Genomic DNA, 20,890 nt, shown 5'->3' on the forward strand with positions numbered 1-20,890 from the left:
ATGGCTTCTAGCTACCATTTTTAATTTCTGTACTCTTCCCTCCTGCCCAGCTCCATTTCCAAAATAGCAAGAAGCTTTGGCTTGGCAAGGAATCCCTGGGGTTGCAATTTATCAGCAAGCTGTGGACACAGCTATTTCCTATCTTTTGGCAAGGTTCAGTGATTTGACTTGTTTCCTGCATGGAATGAAAATTTTGTGAAGGGTGTCAAACAAGAAATACTCTAGGGGCACATAAATGTCTCCTAATTTACTGGTACAGACTTCACTATGGAAAAAATATACATGAGTACTTTGTGACCCTCAAAACTAACACGAGTGTTGATCTCTATGTCAGATAGATAGATGATAGATAGATAGATAGATCTATATATATCTATAATATAGATGAGCCTCTGCAGTCTTTAGAATCCCCTGCCTTAGAATCCCTGGGGGTGGGATACAGGGAACTTGTTAAGATGCATATTCCTGGGCCCCTACTGAATCAGAAGTTCTGGAGGAATGAATGTAGAGATCTGCATTTTAACAGACACCCCAGGTGAGTTTCATGTAGTTTCATGCATTAAAATTTGAGAACTGCCTACTTGGGAGTTTTTGCTAATACCACAAGCTTTGGAAACATACGGAACCTGGGTTAAACTTCAATTTCTTCTTCTGTAAAATAAGGGTAATTCTCCTGTCTCCCCAGCACGAGAGGAGTGGTGTGGAGTAGACATGCAAATAGAGCCCAGGGTTTAGTACAGTGCAACTTTCACAACAATGTCCCCACTCTGGGGCACTTGATGAGCATTTTGCATAACCCCAATAGGGTTGCCAGATAAAATTGAAGACACCCAGTTAAACTTTTATCTCAGAAAAATAATAAGTTTTGAATATAAGTGTGGCAGCAGTGCTGAGGGCAGTTTCCAGAGTCTAGGGTTGGTGGAAAGATTTAGGAAGTTGTCCCTTGATAGCCTCCATGCCTCAACCTCCAGCCTTCCCAGAAACACTGTGAGCTCCCAGATTATTTTAATAAATCCTTTTTTAAAGCTTTAATTCTCTAATCAATTTCTGTTGCTTACAGCTGAGAACCCTGACTGATACAGCATCTGTAACTCTCTACTCAACAACTGACCATCTGTCTTCCATTCTCCTCAGTTCCCTGAGCTCTCCCTGAAGTCATCAGGGAGACTTAATTGAACAATCTCTCAGGCTTTTCTTGCTGAGAGATTTTCTTGGAGAAGTATGTAGAGGTCATGGTCCACCCAAGACAACCTGCAAGGAGGAAGGAGCTAGGGAAATAAAAACCTGACCTCAATGTGCCGCCGCAGACCCTTCCCCTCTAAAGCTAATTCCTCCCATTGGTCAAACCCCACTAGAAGCCGGTGGACAAGAGAGCCTGTTGACATGTGCATTCAGGTCAGTCGTCTCCTGGGACACAGACCAGGGTAGAGAGAAGGGGAGAGTGAGACTGGAGGGGCAGAAGAAATACATCCAACAAGCAGGGTATGTATATTGTCTTGGCTCTGGTAGTAACAGAGCCTGAGATGGAGATTTTGTGCAAGTGACTCCTAGGGGCATTCCTGGGAGAAGAGTGTGAAGGAGGGAGGGAGAGAAGCAGGATGGGGCAGGACAAGGAGCTGAGCAAAGATGTGGTTTCAGGATTAGTCTAGCCTCAGCCTGATCCTATGGGTCACTTTGGAGTGAAAGGACAGAAATTGCTTAGAAGCAAAGGAGCTGGGCTATTGTACCCACTCTCCCCACCAACAGGTATTTTTAGTTGGTCATTAGCATGGACTGCCACTGATATTAATATAATCGGCAAGGCTTCTCCTGGTAAGGGGGCTCCCTTCAGTCAAGGGCAAGCCTTAGGAGAAGAAGCCAGGGGTGAGCTGTTAGCTACCAACATCCACCACACCTGGGGATGGGTGCAGGGTCAGGTGTGTGGATCTGGGCAGGCACTAATAGCATCTGTTGGAAGGACATACAGCTCTGTTGACAGGTCCAGGGGAGGAAAAAATAACTTTCTTTCCACTCTTAGTTCTTAGCTGTGATTAATTCTGTAATGAAAGACAGATTAATAAGATAAAAGCAAACAGAAGCTCATTAACACGTATATTTTACATATACATGGGAGATATCTAGGCAATTACTAAATCTCAAAGAAGTGGCTTGGAATTCCAGCGTATGTAGCATCTTCAACAAAAACCAGTAAATTTTTAGAGAAGTGACAAGACAAAGGAAAAGGACTTTGAGTCTCTAGGGGTAAAAAATTATGGGAAGGCAGATAGACAGTAGATAAAGGCTAGTTAGTAAAGCTTGTTAATGTAGATTCCTCTGGTGCCCTCTCCAGGCTGATAAGGGTCTGAAGTTGTCTTCAGTGATCAACCTTTGTCTTTCCTGGTAGAGAGGGGAAGAAGCCTTTCCTCTTGTTTAGTGACCAGTGAAAAGTAAATTTATGCCCTACTTTTAGGCAAATGGCAGGGGGAGGGGGCAGGTGGGAGGCGGTGACAGAGAACTACTTCTCCATTGCCTTCAGCTTAAAATAATCCTTATGCCAAAGTGGCACATTTTGGGGTGGCATATTCTGGTCTCCTACACAGGACATATCGCTGGGTGAGGAGGTAAAAAAATTATTTTTCCTTTGTGTTTTTCTGAATTCTAAAAGTTTTCTAACATTGAATCTATTTTTCATAACTAGAAAATATGAGTTAAATAAAATCCATGCAGCAAAATCACCTGGTTTGTTACAGATAGAAGTAACAGAAAATTACCTTATATTCCTAACCCCTTGGGGTGTCCTCTTGACCACACTGGACAGATGACCCCTGCTCATTGTTTGGCAAATGCCAATCCCCCAAGCTGGCCCTGGTTGTCACAGAGCTTCTCTGTTTCATCATACTCAGTAAGCCAGTGGCTTAGCACTTAGCTGGTTGTGTGACTCATAAATCAGGAATGCAACCAGTGTGGCTAATGGAGAGGGGCAAGAGGCGGGGATAGGCTGTGCCACCAATAATCAGTGCAATATGTGTGCAGGCATCGTTAGAACCTTTAGATATGGTCTCACTTAATCTTTACAATCGCCCCATGAAGGTGGCAGTATTATCTCCATTTAATAGATGAGGAAGTCTAGACTGGGGGGTTAAGAAACCAAAGTTGTAATTTTTGTTTGGCCACCAGTGAAAAATGAAAACTCTAGACCAAATGATGGATTTTTAAACTGTGTTTCTAGCAGCGCTTAGGCTTAGCAAAGATGCCGGGGATAGGAGGAGCTGCTGAGAGGGAAGGACTGGCCATCGGCACCTCAGTTATGGCAGCTCTGCCTTGGTCTGTTTTATGGGTTGGCAGGGATAGCTTCACGAATGTGCAGCCAGTGCAGCCTCACGGGGCCTGCTGGGCTCACAAGGGGCCCTGCGCTTAGGACCTAATGCTCTGCAGGCACCATCGTGAAATCCTTCATAATTTTGTCTTTTAATGTGTGTTTTATAAGTAAATCCAATGGACAATGGAGCGTGTCCCCGGGCTTGGAGCTGTAAATCATACTTGGCCCCACTTGCTGTTGCCTTTCTGCCTCCCTGGGATATATTCCCTGCTGCCTGCTCTTGATCCTGGTGCGTAAGGCCTCTCCTTGCTTCCCTGCTGCCCTCCTCATGGATCAGCAACTGGATTGCATTGGGAGAAGGGAGAAGGGAGCTGTGTTTCATGTCCTTCAACCCCCAGGAGGACCTGGCCATAGGCATAGGGAGGATTGGGGTCAGGTGTGCCCCTTGAAGTGTCTCAGGTATGACAAGGGAGTGGCCATCCCCATCCAGGCTGGCAGCATCATGGTGCATTCAGTGGATGGCTCAGTAGGGGCCTCTCACAGACCTTTGACCCGGGTACCAAGTCATGACGCACATAGAAAATGGCAACATCTGGAGGCTGGGTGTGGGGGCTCACACCTGTAATCCCAGCACTTTGGGAGGCCAAGGCGGGTGGATCACTTGAGGCCAGGAGTTTGAGACCAGCCTAACCAACACAGTGAGACTCCATCTCCATTTAAAATACAAAAATTAGCTGGGTGTGGTAGCGCATGCCTGTAGTCCCAGCTACTCAGGAGGCTGTGGCAGTTCAGTTGCTTGAACCCAGGAGGCAGAGGCTGCAGTGAGTTGAGATCATGCCACTGCACTCCACCCTGGGCAACAGAGCGAGACTCCATCTGAAAAAAAACAAGGCAACATCTGTATGGCACACTGGGGGAGACAGCAAGCAAAGGGAGCCCTGGCCAGCCTTGACTCCCATTCAGCAGCCCCAAGGGCTGAAGGCAGTTCTACCCTAGGCTTAGGAAATGGAGTCTCTACCTTGGTCTTGTGCTTCAGACACCCCTTGCCCCTTTCACCCCATGAGCCCCACCCTTCCCACAGGCTGAGTTATCCAGAGGCCAAGGGGACGTATCTACCAAAGCCTCAGCCCTCCTTCAGAATTCATTGCTTTTATTCCCCCAGTCCATTACAGACAAATATATGGTCTTACTTTGTGTGATTAATACACAACTCACCCCACTTGTGACTCACCCCATGAGTTTAAAAGCACTCAACTTAGTTTGCACCCTGCTCAATCAGTAAGTTCAACTAGACAAGTCTGCCTTTGGATGTTCTGGCAATGTCAAATTGCTATAGAAATTTGTAAATGCTTGCAATCAGTTCTTATATGTATCCCACAGCAGACAGTAACAACAGTTTGGTCCCTGGAGGACACTGAGTAGCACTATTCTAGGCTCTTCTGTGGGTGCTGGGACCCTGGAATCCAGTCTGAATGACACCAAATCCAAATCCACACCAAGCCTGCTTCCAGAGTCTTTATGGGCCTGTTTTCCTGATCTCTTCTGCAGGTGTACACTGCCCTAGCCCCAGGCTGTTTGCAGGGAGGAGTGGGCAGAGATGAGACATGTGTACTGTGGTGTTCATACACATGCATCTCAGGCCCCTTTAGGTACAGGATGGAGAAAAGGTGGGAATGGGAAGAGCAGGGGCAGGCTGTAATTGGTGGAGGAAGGAAGCCACAAGGATTTGGGACAAGCCTAGCTGCAGGAATCCATTTCTCTGTTCACCTTGAATCCATCACAGCACCCCAATGTGCTGAGGCCTGCCAGTCAGGGAGCTCTGGACCAGATACTTTCCACTGTGACTTTCAATGTTTTGAATTCTGATTTCTATCCCATGGTCACAGTTGAAAGCTCATTAGCATTTGGCACAGCAAGTGGGTGACACACAGATAGGTGTCCTGTGGACACTGCCATCTCACTGTGTGGGAACTGCAGTCTTAGCAACTCTGCCAGTCAACACCCTCCCGCCCTTGATATACAAAAATACACTGCGCTTCTGATGCCTGCCCCATGGCAAATAATTTCTCAACACCCAGGGAAAGGATTTTGTTTGTTTTTCTTTACGTTTGATTAAAAGCAAGCCCAGGCAAATACCCCAAAGGAAAGAGAAACAAATGACTTTACAATTAAAATATAAACCTACACAATTAGTCATTAGGCATATAAATAATATAACATCTTTAGTAAATCAAGAAGCATTAATCCAAGCAATGAGATACTTTATTTTTCCTCTTAAATTGACAAAGATGAAAACCAGAAAAGAAAATATTCAGTATTTGTCAGGATTTAGGGAATATTGCTGTCTTATATACTGTTGGCAGATGGTCAACAGAAGACAGACTTGTAGAGGTAAATTTGAAAATATATTGCAGAAGACTTAAAAATGTGTATATCCTTTGAAATCTTGAAAACATTGTTTCATAGTCTTCTTATGAAACAATGTTTTCATAAGATGAATGAAAAGTTGATGTCTGTCTCACTCTTGATTTTTTTTTCCTCTTCTTAAGCTGTTCTTGATATCACTGATGTTCTGAAACTTCACTAAGGTCTGTCTTAGGTTGGGCTTCTCTTGCCAAGTATTTGGTAGCCTACTTCAAATTGAGGTTTCACATCTTTCTTTGGTTCTAAGAAATCTTTATTATTTCTGTGAATATTGCTTCCCCTCAATCTTCTCTAGCCTCTCATCTACAACTCTTATTAGATCAAGGCTTAATTTACTGGATTTCTATCCTGCATTTCCTAATAATGTTCAGCCCTCTGTGCTACCATGGAGAATTCCTTGGCCTGCCCTTTCAGCTCACGAAACTGCTCTTTCTGTCTATCGTGTTATTCAGCTTCTCTATTGAGGGTTTTTTCTTTCAACATTTAAGATTATTATTTCAAATATCTCTGATTGAACATTTTTGGGTAACTCGTCCTCATTTTGTGGTTATATTATCTCCATTTTTCTGAGCAGATTGACTATACTTATTGAAAATTCTTTTCTGAATACCATATTAACTCCATTTCTTTTGGGGATCTCCATTGCAGAGTTAGTTGTCTCTTTTTTGTGGTGTTGGCCTTCCTCAAATGTTTGCTCATTCTTGTTTTTGTACTGATTTTTGTAACTGAAGTTTCCTGCTAGAATGTCATCTGCATCTATTTGAGAGAGCCACTTGGAGAGCAGGGATGGGAACTACTATTGGCCTAACTCTTGGCACTATTTTCAAAATACCAGTCTTCTTAACCTGGGTTTTTCTTTCTCGCAGGTGTCTCCAGCTCCTGAGAGCACTGCCCTTCTCTCTAGTCCCTGCCCCATACAGACTCCTCTATTGTTGCTGACTGGCCTCAGCAGGTGGAAGAGTAGAAAGTCCGGGCTACCTTGCTGCTTCTTGCCTCCCTGTAACTATGGCAGAAACTCTGTCAGCTTCTGACATCATACTTGGCATTCCCTGTCATGCTTCCTGGGCCACCTTTTCTCTTTCCAATAAGATTCTGTTCATCCTTTATTAACTCCTCAGTGTAGTCCTCTCCCTTTTCAGTGAGGCTATTTATTTAAACTTCTATCATTTCTTGGCATTTGTTGTAAAAGGCACACATACTCAGTCCAACACTTTGAGCTGGAGCTATTAAAAAAAATCTCTGTATTGGCCAAGCATGTTATCTCATGCCTGTAATCTCAGCACTTTAGAAGACTTAGGTGGGAGGATTGCTCAAGGCCAGGAGTTCAAGACCAGCCTGGGCAACATAGTGAGACCCTGTCTCTACAAAAAAATATACAAAAATTAGCTGGGCATGGTGACACGTGCCTTTAGTCCCAGCTACTTGGAAAGCTGAGGTGAGAGGATCGCTTGAGCCCAAGAGTTTGAGACTGCAGCAAACTATGATCATGCCACTACACTCCAGCCTAGGCAACAGAGTGAGACCATCTCTCTAAAAAACAAAACAAAATAAAAACCCAACATTTATATAACCTTCAAGCCAGTAATCCCACTTCTAGGAATTTATCCCAAGGAAGTAATTTAAAATAAAACTTTAACCACAAGGTGTTTCATCACAGTAGGATTTATTATGAAAATGTGGAAACAAATATCCAAGCAAAGGGGATTAGGTAAATAAATGATGACATAGACATGTGAAAAATAACATGGCAGAATATTTAATGGTATAGAAAAAAGTCATCAAGGTATCATTAAGTAAAAATTTCAGGTTACAGAATTGTTTTAAAATCTCCTTTTTGTAAAAAGCATATATGTTCTTATAGAAAAGGGTAGCTCTGCATGGTGGGATTTCTGGCAACTTTTGTTTTTTCATTTTGACTATCTGTTTCTCCACCATTTTGGGATTGTTTGCAACATCTGCCATGTGCAAGCTTCTGGTTCCATCCTCTGCTTACCTCCCCCAGGCATGCTGGAAGATGGACTGCCCTCCAATGGTGTGCCCCGATCTACAGCCCCAGGTGGAATACCCAACCCAGAGAAGAAGACGAACTGTGAGACCCAGTGCCCAAATCCCCAGAGCCTCAGCTCAGGCCCTCTGACCCAGAAACAGAATGGCCTTCAGACCACAGAGGTAGGGTTGCAGCCACAGAATCAACTGGGGACTGGAGAATGGGGGTAGGGCTTGCTTCAGGGCAGAGCCACCCAGCCGCTATGTCCAGGGAGGGACCAGGGATGGCTCATCTTGGAAAAAAAAAGTCTCTGCCCCACCCATGTAAAAATTGCTGCAAACCCCACCCCAAAACCCTGCCTTGAGGGTTGCTGCTTTTTGTTTCCATGTGTATGTTTGCTTAAGTACAGCTTTATTCAAGGATCTTGTTTTCTGTGGCCACTGTCACCATGTTGATGGTGAGGACTGTGCTGGTTAGAGGAACCAGTCTTAGGCCAGGCAGCTGGCCAGTCTCAGGGGTTGGCAGGGTGGGGAGTGGGCAGAGGAAGGAAAGAGAAGACCAGAGTGGTTGGAAACAAGCCTCGCATTTTACTCAGGCCCTCCAACCAGGTGGACATTGGAAGGGCCCCCAAGGGTGGCTCTCATAGCAGAATGTGGTGACAGCATCATCCCCAGACTGTTGGAAGAGGCAGGTCAGTGATGTCCCAGGACGTGGCGGGTATCCTTTCTTTTCTCCCAGAGCTATTGTTGGGAAGATCCTCTTATGGGTACAGGAGGGGCAGCCCAGAATGAGCGCTCTTAGTAGGCAGGGCTCAGGCATCTGCAGTCTCTTCCTCTTCCACCCAGTTCCTCCTTCTGACTTCCTTATCTTCCCTATGCCCCACCCCCTTCAAAATCCACTGCTTACCCTAGGCTCCATACCCATTTTCTCCTATCTCTTCTGTCAAAATTATACTGAACCAGGTTCATTCTGTCTGTGCACAGCAAACCAATCACTGTGACAATGGGTTTTGCAAAAGAGAAAGTTTATTCATGAGGCAGCCAAGTGAGGAGGCAGAAGAACAGATCCCAAATCTGCCTCCACAAAGATAGGGTTTAGGGCTATCTATGAGATAAAGAAGCCGGGTAATCTAAGGCATGAGGAAAGATGATTGGCAGTGGGGGAAAGTGAGATAATCAGTGGTCTGTGCTTGCATAGTCATGGTTCATGGCTCTTCACAGGATTCATGTTCAGAAAATGGCTGTGTTTGCATGATCTTCAGGAAGAGTTTTGGCCTTCTGACTTCAAAAGGTCACCTCTTGGGCATTTCTACAAACCCAGTTGAAGGGTCAGTGATCTCAACTGGCTTTAACTGGACAAGAGCTAAGCCCAAGTTCCTGAAAAACAACTTTAAGCAACTGTTACAGTGGTGATCTATATGTCAGATATGTAGTCTGTAACAAAGCTAGTGGATTGGTTAGCTATGGGACTTTCAGCTATATGGGTTTTAAGATTAACTAGAAGTGAGTGATTAAAAGCAAGCAATGCAGGTTAAGTTTGATAGGCTTAATCAGGTTAGTCCCCAGTTCCAAAAACTTACTGGTCCTGTCCCCTCGGGCCAATGCCACCTGTTTTCTGAGAGTACAACTCATTATCTAATGATGGAATTCTTGCTCATATCAGTGAGTTGCCTCTCTAAGTTTTGGTCAGAAAACCTGTTGCAAATTCATCTCTAAAGCTCACTAACTAAAGGCCTTTCAGAAATGACTTAATCTCTCAGAATCTCACGTTCATTATCCACACAATGGAAATAATACAAAATGAGTGAACAGATGAGCCTCCTCTTATAAACTAGGATATAGATAAGAATGGCAGTAAGGATTAACAGGGGATAGTTAGGCACACAGCACCATAATCCACTTAAATGAAACACTAATGGTGGCCCTGCAGACACTGGAGAAGGTAATGAGGGGTGTAGACTTCAGGGTTGTGGTGTCCTTAATAGAGTTCTGTATTGTCTACTTTGCCTGTGCATTAGGTGGCCTTCTAGAGACCTAATCATCATTGCCATCTCTCAAGACAGTCTGGACCCACAGAACTACGTTCAAAAGCTTGATGACTGCTCTACCACAGGCCCAGATATTTGTCTTCTAGTCTCCTTCCCACACTTGTGCCCTTACCCTCTGAGCCAGGATAAGCCGTGGTCAAGAGGAAGCAGCTTTGCCTGGTGGATGGCATGATCCATACACTTGTTTCCCCACCTCATTTCCTGCCCCCCCATCCATCACTTTAAAATTATGTTTTGCAGTTTACAAAGTGCTTTTAAGTCTACTGGCTCCTTAAGTTCCCCTAAGAGCATTGTGAAGTAAGCATTATCCCCATTTTATAGACAAGGAAACTGAGGTTCATTTGATTGAGTTACATGAATAAGGCCATATAAGTGTTGTAGAAGGATATTGGTAGCTTTAAATCAGAAAAGGTTTCTATTAAGAAGATAGAACATAGCTTCAAGTACATTTTAAAAATGAATAGTGTATTAGTCAGTTGTTGCCTCAATAATGCTGCATAACAAAACACAGCAACATTCAGTTGCTTGAGACAACACCCTCCCGCCACCCCCACCACTGCCACCATGGTCAGCTGTAACTTAAAAAGGCTCAGTCTGACTTTTCCAGGGCTGGCTCAGTCTGTTCCATATATATTATTCTGGAAACCAGGCCAAGAAAGCAGCAGCTTTCTGGGGTATATTCTTATGACTATGGCAGAAACCCAAGGGGGCAAAACCAAACTACTTGAACGCATTTCGTGTCTCTGCTCACATCATACTGACTAATATCCCATTGGCCAAAGCAAGTCAAATGGACAAGCCCAACTTTAAGCAGGGAAACATACTCCGTCCAAAGTGGAGAGAGAGCAAAGAATTAGGAGCAATAATGCAGGCTACCACATACCACATACATACACAAAGAAATGCAACTCATAACTTCAATGAATTCTTATAAGGTGGCACATCCATGTAACCATCATGCAGATGAAGACATAGAACATTATCACCAGCCCAGAAATCCACAATGTCACCATTCTTCTCACTCCTAGTATTATAGATCAGTTTGGTTTGAGACTTATAAATAGAATCATACAAGTGTGAGCTTTTTCATGTCTGGCTTCTTTTGCTCAACATTATCCTTGTGAAAATCACCCATATTGTTCTGAGTTGCAATAATTTTCTCATTTTCATCGTTATGTATATTTCCTTATATGAATACACTGCAATTTACCCATTTTACTTGATAAACATTTGGGTTGTTTCCAGTTTGGGGCTATTGTGAACAATACAGCTTTTAATGTTTGTGTGCATGGTTTGGTGGACAGCACTTCTTTTGGGAATATACCTAGGAGTGGAATTGTTGGGTCACAGGACAGGGGTATATTTGACTTTCATAGACATTGACAAATAGTTTTCCAAAGTGGTTATGCTGCTTTATACTCTAACTAGCAGTGGTTGAGTTCCAGTTATGGAACAAAAGAATTAAAAATCAGTAAGTTGTGCTTAGTCTGTCTTCCTTGTGGTAGCAACTACTTATTAATTAATTAATTAATTTATGTATTTATCTATTTATTTATAGATGGGGTCTCACTCTATCACCCAGGCTGGAGTGCAGTGGTTCGGTCACTGCCCTCTGCAGCCTCTAATGCCTGGGCTCAAGCACAGCCTCCCAACTAACTGGGACCATAGGCATGCACCACCATGCCCAGCCAATTTGTTAATTATTTGCAGAGAGGAGATCTCACTATGTTGCCCAGGCTGGTCTCAAACTCCTGAGCTCAAGCAATCCTTCTGCCTCACCCTACCAAAGTGCTAGGATTATAGGCGTGAGCCATTGCACCCGGCCACTACCAAGTATTTATTCATATGTGGTCTAGGTATGACATAGGGTGCAAAGCACTTTGTTATGTTATCTCTTAATCCTCACACTAACTCTATAATGTTGACATTGTTGTCTCCAATTTACAGATGGGAATTGAGACTCAGATATAGCTAGGGAAAGCATGCCCCCATGCCGCACATACACACACACCCCACACACTTTGGGAGCTCATGGGGCTTTAAAATGGGGCGGGCAGAGTCAGCCCCCGTAGGGCTTCAGCAGCAGTGGAAACTGTCACAGAGGAGTGATGACCACACACACCTGCCCAACGCAGCACCCCTGGGCAGATGATGCATATCAATGAGCAGCCTGTGCAGCTTTTGTTTTCATAATTAAATGAACATGGCTGTGTTGTAACTGTTTTCAAAATAAGATCAGGGAGCTGATAACTTTAGTTTTAACGGTTTATATTTAAAAGATAATCAGTGGTCTTTACATCCTGCGACCTCACCAGTCACTGGCCATTCTGAGTCCCTCAAAGGCCAACGCAAAGGTTTTCTGTCTAAGATGTTTAGAAGCTAAGTTTACCTGTGATTGATGCTTCTGTCAGCAGAGCTACCTCATACCAACACTCAGGCAGGCTCTCAACTGCCTACTATTTGCCCAAAGAAAATACTTTTCTTCCTATTCCCTCCTGGGCCTTTGATATACTGTTTTTTTCCTAGTGTGTCTCTTAGACTCTGGGCCTAAGCTTTGTGCATTTTCAGTATCTGGCTCAGTCAGTATCCACTTGCCTCTTCCAGTCTTCCATTGCACCCCTATATGAGCTACTAGCATTTCACCACGCTCCCCTTAGGCACCATCAGGCCACCTGGTTGGTGGTTCTTCGGCATTTTTTTTTAAAGCTTTCCTTCTCTAGAAGATCCCTTTCATGAAGCATGTGTCCTCATCCACAGGCCTACTGCAGTGCTGCCATTCAGATTTACAAAACAAATTTGTATGTGAAAGGCAATCCTTGCGAGGCCTGGAAAATTTTTTAATCAGTTCCTATAACTACTCTTAAGATTCATTCATCAAATGTTCATTGAGTGCTGTCTAGGTGCCAGGCACTGTTCCAGTGCCAAGGATCCAGGGGTAGAAAAGACAGACATGGCTTTTGCTCTGAAGCAGCTGCTAGTTTTAATGGAGGTGGGTTGGGAGCCAAATAATATAGAATAAATAAAGCATTTATAGACTCTGAATGGTGCTATGAAGGAAGTAGAAGGTCACTAGTCAGGGGTAGCAGCTACTCTATTTAATGCAGATGCCACCTCACGTTTAAACTGCTTTCCAAAGGGTGATGGGGCAACTAATGTTGCTTATGGCTGTGAGCAACAGCACCTTGTGTTTGGAGCCCTTCTCCACTTCATGTCCCATCAAACAAACCATATCTTCCTTTTTGTCAATTCCCTCCAATCCCCCCGCCTTATGCCTGGTGTTAATAGGTGTTAACTGGCAAGAAGATTGTGGCAAAAATGATCTTTCATAAATTGGAACTGACTGTCTCAGTGGGGAGCTCTTTCTCTTTCTCTATTGCACCTTGATTTCCCCAGTCATTTGGGGCCTTACTGACTCCAGAGTGTCTGATAAATCATTGGCTTGGTCTCCTTCATCCTACTCCCTACCTGAGCTCAACAAACAACACGAGAGGCAGCGCTGTAGTTGCTTGTCTTCTCCCACTAATTAGTTGTTCAGGAACTTTGGGCTGCCTCCAAACATTTACTCTCTAACCTGAATGTGCCATTTCCTTAGGCTTAGGACTCTTATTCCCCCCCACCCCTTAAAATACCTCCTCAAGTATTCAGCTACAGTAAAAATGTATATGTGGCCATAGCTCAAGTAGAAAAGGCTCTGACATGTGGCTGGCCTTCCAGGGAACCCTCCTGTCTTCAGAAGCTGCATATTTTCAAGTTGCTTTATTATTCTTGACAAAGTGACTGGACCGTGCTAAAGGAACTAGCATGGGGACTGATTCTCAGCTAAGGAGTTTTCTCCCGCTCCTCCTCCTGTCCCCTCCCCCAGTGTCTGGTCAACATCATTGGCAAGGCCTGGCCCAGTCTGGGAAAGACAGGTGAAGGTCCACAGAGATAGGAGACCTGATCAAGACAGGAGGTTAGGACCAGCCCAGGATTTCTCCTGGATAACACTAATATGAGACATATCAAGGGAGAGTTTGGAAAGTAAATATGAGTCTCTCCCAGAAAAACAAAAACAGGACATTAAAAGGAGGGAGCGAACAACAGAAACCTCTGGGAAAACCAGAGAGGGGAAGCTATTAGAAGGGCACTTTGGTGTCCTTTCTAGTGCAAGCCTGGGGAAAAAGGAAGGAATTTAGCAATACAGAGATGTGCACCTACCTACTGGCTGCTACCTCTTGTAGAGATTTGTAAGACTCGGTATTCATGTAAGGGTCTGCAGTCAAACCAGTTCAACTGGAAGGCTCTCAGGGCAGACACTGCCTTATTTTTCTTTATATTCTTCCCTTGACTCCTGAGCCTACTTTAGGGTTATGAACCTAACAGGTACTCACTACCTACGTGTTGATTAACTGAGACAGCCTAGTCATCACTCAGATTAGAAAAGGTTCCCATAGCTTCAACCCCACCCATCCCAGCTCTGCACCACTATCCTGTGATGACTGTTCTGTGGTTGCCCAGTTGCTTTTCTAAAGCAGGTTCTGCTGCCTTCCTAATGTCTGATCTTCTATCTGAAGTTCAAGTTGAAAAGCAACAACTCCTTTTGGCACTCGATACAAACTCCCAGGGTGAGTAAGTCTAAGTGTAGATGGGGAAGGGGGCTGCGGTCTGCACAGAATGTGCTCCAGGCTTGGAGGAATCTTAAGAGTTTTACCTGCAGCATAGTCTGACCCCTGCGTTCTGAGGCTAGCAGCTGGCCCTTGGTGGAGTTGCTAAGATCAAATATCCCCTGACTGACCTTGCATTAATGCCGTACAAATTCACAAAGCAGCAGCAAATACATTCACAGAATTTGAGAACAATTAGGGTGTGTTATTGTGTATCTTCCTTTCATGAGACCTGTCTGAAAAGAAGTCAAACATCTGGAGTTGCAGCTGCCAAAGCTCTCGTCTTTAATCTTTTGGGAAGGAAGAGAGGATAAAACTAATATTTTGACGTGCCTACAACGTGCCAGACACACTATGACATCATTTTTAACCCTTACAACTCTAAAAGGTAAGCAACATCATTTCCTACCTGGGAAAACAGAGGCTCAGAAACTAGATATCTGGTCAACATGGCCCAAGGAGTCATGATTTGGCTGTGTTCAAATTCAAACCCAGGTCTGTCTCCATCTAAGCCCCAAGTTCTTCCTTCCCATTATCTGAAACTTAATGGCGGAGAATTTAGAGTGAGCTTTGGCAGAGTTGTGAGAGGTGGGATATGAAACCTGGGGCCACCATCTTTAGTTTGACTCATCACCCATATTGACATTGGCCTTGAGTTAATTGCATTTGCCTGAGTGGTTTCAGCTGCCTCATTGGGAAAGCGAATACAATAACATTCCCACCTGTCTCTCAGGGATGGGGCAAGGAATGATTAATCATGGATGTAACTGAAATCTTGTAGGAAAGTTCTGGGACACTGAGGCAGGGCAATGCACACAGTTTCTGTTCCCAGGGATTTTTCTTTTCTTTTCTTTCTGAAGATTTGTCTTCACACATGTGTTCATGGTCAAATTATTTACTGAGTGTCTATTATGCGACAGGCACTAAATTAGAGTCTGGGCAATACTATAAATGAATGAAATAGACTAGGTTCCTACTGTCTTGAAGTTTACAATATGAGGAGGAAGCAAAAAAGAAGTTAAAAAATAAATGCATAATTTAAACTGTGGTTAAAGGCCAGGAAGGAAGTAAAGAACATAGGGAGAGAGAATAACAGAGCCCTATGCTTCTATATGCCTAGAAAATCCCTGCAACATTCCATAAGAAAATATTAGCCATAATTATCTCTGGGGAAGGCACTAGAAGCCCTTCTCTACTCTTTGAATTTCTTTTTGCCATAATTATGTCTTCCTTTTATAATTAAAAATACTACTTATACAGAAAAATTGGTGTCTCACACATCATAATCTCAGAAGCCATGTTTTTCTTTGTTGTCTGCAAAGAACTATGAAAAGGTTTGTATAATCCCATGTTAGGTACAGATATATTTGTGGAGTTCAAGCAAAGCTGAGAACATCTCTATTTCCATTTGGGGGGAAAGTGAGAAAAGGCTGAACAAAGGTATCTGCAGTCTTGAATCCAGGTCTCCAGGAGCAGCCAAGCTGTCCCAACCTCCACAGGAAATGGGCTGATTATTGACATCTGAACCCCAAGATAAACAAGTCCATCTGGGTCAGAGACTGCCAAGAGGTTATCACGGTCAATCTGGTTACCCTTGAGAAATGGCAGGCTACTTTTAATTAAAGAGGCAGTATCAAGAAGACTAAAATCTATGATTCATGGGGTACTAAAGCTGCAGAAATTAAAATGAGGTAAGGAAAGAGTTGAAAAGCTGTAAAACTAGGTGAGAAGCCAGAGGTGGCCCATTAACAAGAGTCAATGGTGATAAAACTCACAAAACAAGAATGTTAGAAGTAGAGGAAGGATTGGCACAGCTGCATGAGAAAAAGGTGCTAATTAGGCTCCTCTCATTATGGAATTGGGGGCCATACTTTTTTTTTTTTAAGCCAGTAATTGCAATAGAAACACATTTTCTTTTCCTGTCATTAAAAAGGTATGGGGGGTGATGTTAAAAAAGGTTTGGCTGGCTGGAAACTACATCAGAGGGGAAAATACGTTGTATAAAGCATCACAGGCACTGAGGGACAAAATGGTGTGATTGTTTCTTGTGTTTATATTGCTCTTCTCAGCGGAGGGCAAAACAACTCACTTCTCCAAACTTCTAGATAAAATATCTGGCATTGTGATTCTTTTTCTCATCTTCTTTCTCTCTCTTGCTTGGGCTTGAAATCTAAGGTTTTTGAGATGTAACTAGATTGTGTTGATGAAAAGAGTCAAACTCTACAATATTTGAAGAGATTTATTCTGAACCAAATATGAGTGACCATGGCCCATGACACAGCCCTCAGGAGATCCTGAGAGTATGTGCCCAAGGTGGTTGGGGCACAGCTTGGTTTTATATATTTTAGGGAGGCATGAGACATCAGTCAAATACATTTAAGAAACACATTGGTTTGGTTTAAAAAGGCAGGACAACTCAAAGCAAAGTGGGCAGGTGGCGGGTGGGGGGCTTCCAGGCTATAGGTAAATTTAAACATTTTCTGGTTGAGTTTGTCTAAAGACCTGGGATCTGCAGAAAGGAATGTTCAGGTTAAGAAAAAGGATTGTGGAGACCAAGTTTTATTGTGTAGAGGAAGCTCTTAGATGGCAGACTATAGAGAGAGCAGGTTGTAAATTTTTTACAGACTTATAGGGGTGGCTGGCTCTTAGTTGATTATCTCCTGGATCTGGGAAGGAAGGAAGGAAAACAGAGGAAAAAGGATTCTCTATAGAATGTGGATTTTTCCCACAAGAGACTCTGTGGGGCAATTTCAAGATATGTCAAGAAAATATATTTTGGGGTAAAACATTTTGATTTTCTTCCTTGTTATGCCAGAGTCAGACTGGAAAGTAAAACACAATATACAGGGTCAAACAAAACCTATCTGATGAGAATTTATGGTTTGTAGGTTATGACTCCCCAGGCCCCTTAGATAGGAATTTGGGCAAGATAAAAAAATCAGAGTTTAGTCCTCAATTGCAACGACTACCAACCTCTTAAACATCCTCACGACTGCTTTTGGTTGGGTACTTTTCCGGCAATGTCTCAAATTCAAAAGCTTCTCTTTCATAAAACATTTCTGAGAAAATGCATTGTTGTTCTAATTATTTAATTTGCTAACTTAAATACAGTGTCATTATTTGAAAGTGGATTTGTTTACGGCTTGGAACTTTTTGAGCCCATATCATGGGAGTTACAGAACTTTAGTTTGTCCTTTATCTGGAAGCACAACTTTTAGAGTTATTGTTGTTGCCATTTAGAAGTAGTAGTAGCAGTAGTCATCGTTTCAGTATAATGAGGCTTTATATTTTAATTTGCTGTTTGACTGACATCATCTTTTTACAAATAAAATTAATGTTAATAGCTATAATTGAGGTGACTAACCGTCCTGGTTTGCTGGGGCCTGAGTAGGTTTCTGGGATGTGGGACTTTTAGTTTTAAAACTTTTTGGCGGGCCGGGCGTGGTGGCTGGCTCACGCCTGTAATTCCAGCACTTTGGGAGGCTGATGCGGGTGGACCACAAGGTCAGGAGTTCGAGACCAGCCTGGCCAACATGATGAAATCCCGTCTCTACTAAAAATACAAAAATTAGCTAGGTGTGGTGCACGCCTGTAGTCCCAGCTACTCGGGAGGCTGAGGCAGGAGAATCTCTTGAACCTGGGAGGCAGAGGTTGCAGTGAGCAAAGATTGAGCCACTGCACTCCAGCCTTGTGACAGAGAGAGACTGTCTCAAAACAAAACAAAACAAACAAACAAAACTTATCGGCCCTGGATAAACCAGGATAAACTAGGAGAAGTTGGTAACCCTCTCAATGTTATGTGACATACTTAATTCTCTCAAAGAAAAGTAAAGAGCAGGCATTATTTCCTTCATTTTTCAGATAATAGAACTGAGTCAAATGTCAAAGCAACATGTCTTGCTGCAGCTAACTGGTAGCAAAGGCTTGCTCCATGTCCAGATCTATCTGGCCCCAAAGTTTGTGCTCTGAATATTTCTATTGTGCAGGCTTATGATATACAGATTTAAGAAATGACCCTATTGTAATTGGGATTACAATTATATATATATATCTGTGGCTGTTATAGGAATGACTACTTTGTAGCCTCTTAAATAGGCTTGGAAATCCAACTACTGGATTTTTTGCTTAGATTTTTAAGCTTAGAAGTACAGACTGAAATAAAGAGCTTTGTATCATCTGTGTATCATCTTTAATAAACTTTTGTGAAATCTTACCAACAGTCTTTTCTAAAGAAAAGCACTTCTGCAGTTTGGAACATTTCCATTTCCATTCTGGAAAGCCCTCTTACCTCCCACCAATTTGAGGGGAATGCTACAGTCAATTTAGCTCACTTTAAAGAAGGCCTCTGCATTCTATTCCATGCCCCAGTCCTCAAAGCTATTTAGTGACACCCGGAATGGAAGTCAGATGGAATTGGTCTCATAATTACCACGGTTTTCTTTAGGAAACAGAATCACTGCCTTCTTTTCCTTCACAACGCTTTGTGCGTGTGTGCATATGTGCATGTGCTTCTGCGTGCGTCTGTGTGTGTGTGTGTGTGTGTGTTTAGCAGGCATGGGGCAGTCCAATGTGAACTCAGAAAATGAAGTAACTACTGTTGATGAAAAGAGTCAAACTCTGTAAAATATTTGAAGAGATTTATTCTGAGCCAAATATGAGTGACCATGGCCCGTGACACACCCTCAGGAGGTCCCGAGAACATGTGCCCAAGGTGAGCGGGGCACAGCGCTTGGTTTTATATATTTTAGGGAGGCATGAGACATCAATCAAATACATTTAAGAAATACATTGGTTTGGCTCAGAAAGGCAGGACAACTCAAAGCAGAGTGGGCGGGTGGGGGGGCAGGGGCTTCCAGGCTATAGGTAAATTTAAATATTTTCTGGTAGACAATTGGTTGCGTTTATCTGAAGACCTAGGATCAATAGAAAATAAATGTTCAGGTTAAGGTAAAGGATTGTGGAGACCAAGTTTTGTTGTGCAGAGGAAGCTCTCAGCCGACTTCAGGGAGAGCAGGTTGTAAAATGTTTCTTATCTGACCTAAAAGGGCACCTAGCTCTTAGTTGACTATCACCTGGATCTGGAAAGGAAGGAAGGAAAAAAAAGGAAGGGGAAAGGGGATTCTCTATAGAATGTGGATTTTTCCCACAAGGGGTGGCTTTGCAGGGCCATTTCAAAATATGGCAGAAAAATGTTTTGGGGTAAAATATTTTTATTTTCTTCCTTGTTATGCCAGAGTCAGATTGCAAAGTAAGTCACGATATACAGGGTTAAATAAAACCCATCTGATGAGAATTTATGGTTTGTAGGGCATGACTCCCCAGACCCCTTAGATAGGAGTTGGGCAAGATTAAAAAAAATCAGAGCTTAGTCCTCACTACTCTTAGAAAGAATGCTTTAAAGGACAGGAGGAGTTAAAGACAAATAACAAGAGATGCTTAGTTTCAAGGTCGTGTGATTTTATCAGTTCTCTGCTTTTGGGGAAAAATAAGCCCATAAAAGTCTTTGCTAGCCCTAGTGCCAGTTCAGGCTCAGAAAACCTGAGTGTAAGACTGAGCCCTAAATAGTATTGCCTACTGGTTGTTAAAGCAAGGGTACACTGACAAGTGTGGTGCATTCATTCATTCATTCATTCACTTATTCAAACAAAGTTAAACTGAGAGCTTATGATGTCTCAGAACTGTGCTAGGCACTGGGAACACACAGAGGAAAGCAATGACATCCTATCTCATGAAATAAATAGATAAGACTAAAATTATGTAGAGTCAAAATTATCCTTAAATGTTCCTCAAATCACCCATAAAGTATGATCTTTGGTTAGGTTCCCTAAACGCAGAACCTGAGATAAGGATGTAAGTAATTGAAAGGATGCAAGTAATTCTCATGCAAGTAATTGAAAAAGTACACTCAGGTGAAACCTGCATGGTAATGGAGGAAGCAGGGCAGGGCAGGGGATCAGATTCAGCAAATGTGTGAGTTCAGTCAGCGGAACAGCTGTAGTCTAGCCTCAGCCAGATCCCACAAGGAGACCTGGGGCAAGCAAAGCACCATGGATTTGTACCCCCAAGAGGCTAAGGGGCAGCCTTTTTTATCCTAACAATCAGGCATGGGATATGGGCCTATCCAGGATATGGGCCTCTTTGGCATTCCTGGAGGAGGTGGCTCCAATCAGATGAGGGCAATTCTCAAAAGAAGGGTGTGCTGTGAGCAGTTAGCAGCCAACAGTCACAGCAGCTGGGAGGGATGCTCTGGCAGAGTAAAGGGGATCTAGAGAGGGGTGTCGCCATCAGCTACACAAGGACACAGGATTTATGTGACATATTAGAAACATACATATCGTTTGCTAATAAATACAACAGAACAATGGATTTTTCTCCATCAGTGCAATAGTTCACCATTTATTTGGATGCACTACAGAGGAAGTAGTTTGTGTTCAGGGGCCATGTTGTTTGAAAAATGTGCATCTCTCAACACCCAGCACAAGGAGGTGCTC

General features: G+C 43.2%; 1 protein-coding gene across 3 annotated transcripts in view, besides 1 other annotated feature; it reads left to right on the top strand.

Annotated features, from left to right (window-relative positions):
• Nucleotides 1–20,890, top strand: part of BAALC (BAALC binder of MAP3K1 and KLF4) — an 89,581-nt gene that overhangs the window by 64,470 nt on the left and 4,221 nt on the right. For 2 of the 3 annotated variants that reach the window (NM_001364874.1, NM_024812.3), the window contains one exon: nucleotides 7,725–7,891. The exons of the other annotated variant lie outside the window; for it this stretch is intronic. In NM_001364874.1, coding sequence (NP_001351803.1) covers nucleotides 7,725–7,891 — 167 coding nt within the window. The remainder of the gene's footprint in view (nucleotides 1–7,724; nucleotides 7,892–20,890) is intronic. 3 annotated transcript variants of the gene reach the window in all.
• Nucleotides 3,641–4,446: an enhancer, noted in NCBI's record as "H3K27ac-H3K4me1 hESC enhancer chr8:104221063-104221868 (GRCh37/hg19 assembly coordinates)". NCBI's record gives its function as "activates a minimal SCP1, AML or CMV promoter by ChIP-STARR-seq in naive H9 embryonic stem cells {active_cell/tissue: H9 hESC(naive)}" and the evidence as "EXISTENCE:reporter gene assay evidence [ECO:0000049][PMID:30033119]".

Source organism: Homo sapiens, chromosome 8 (assembly GCF_000001405.40).
Source record: "Homo sapiens chromosome 8, GRCh38.p14 Primary Assembly".
Classification (NCBI taxonomy): Eukaryota; Metazoa; Chordata; class Mammalia; order Primates; family Hominidae; genus Homo; species Homo sapiens.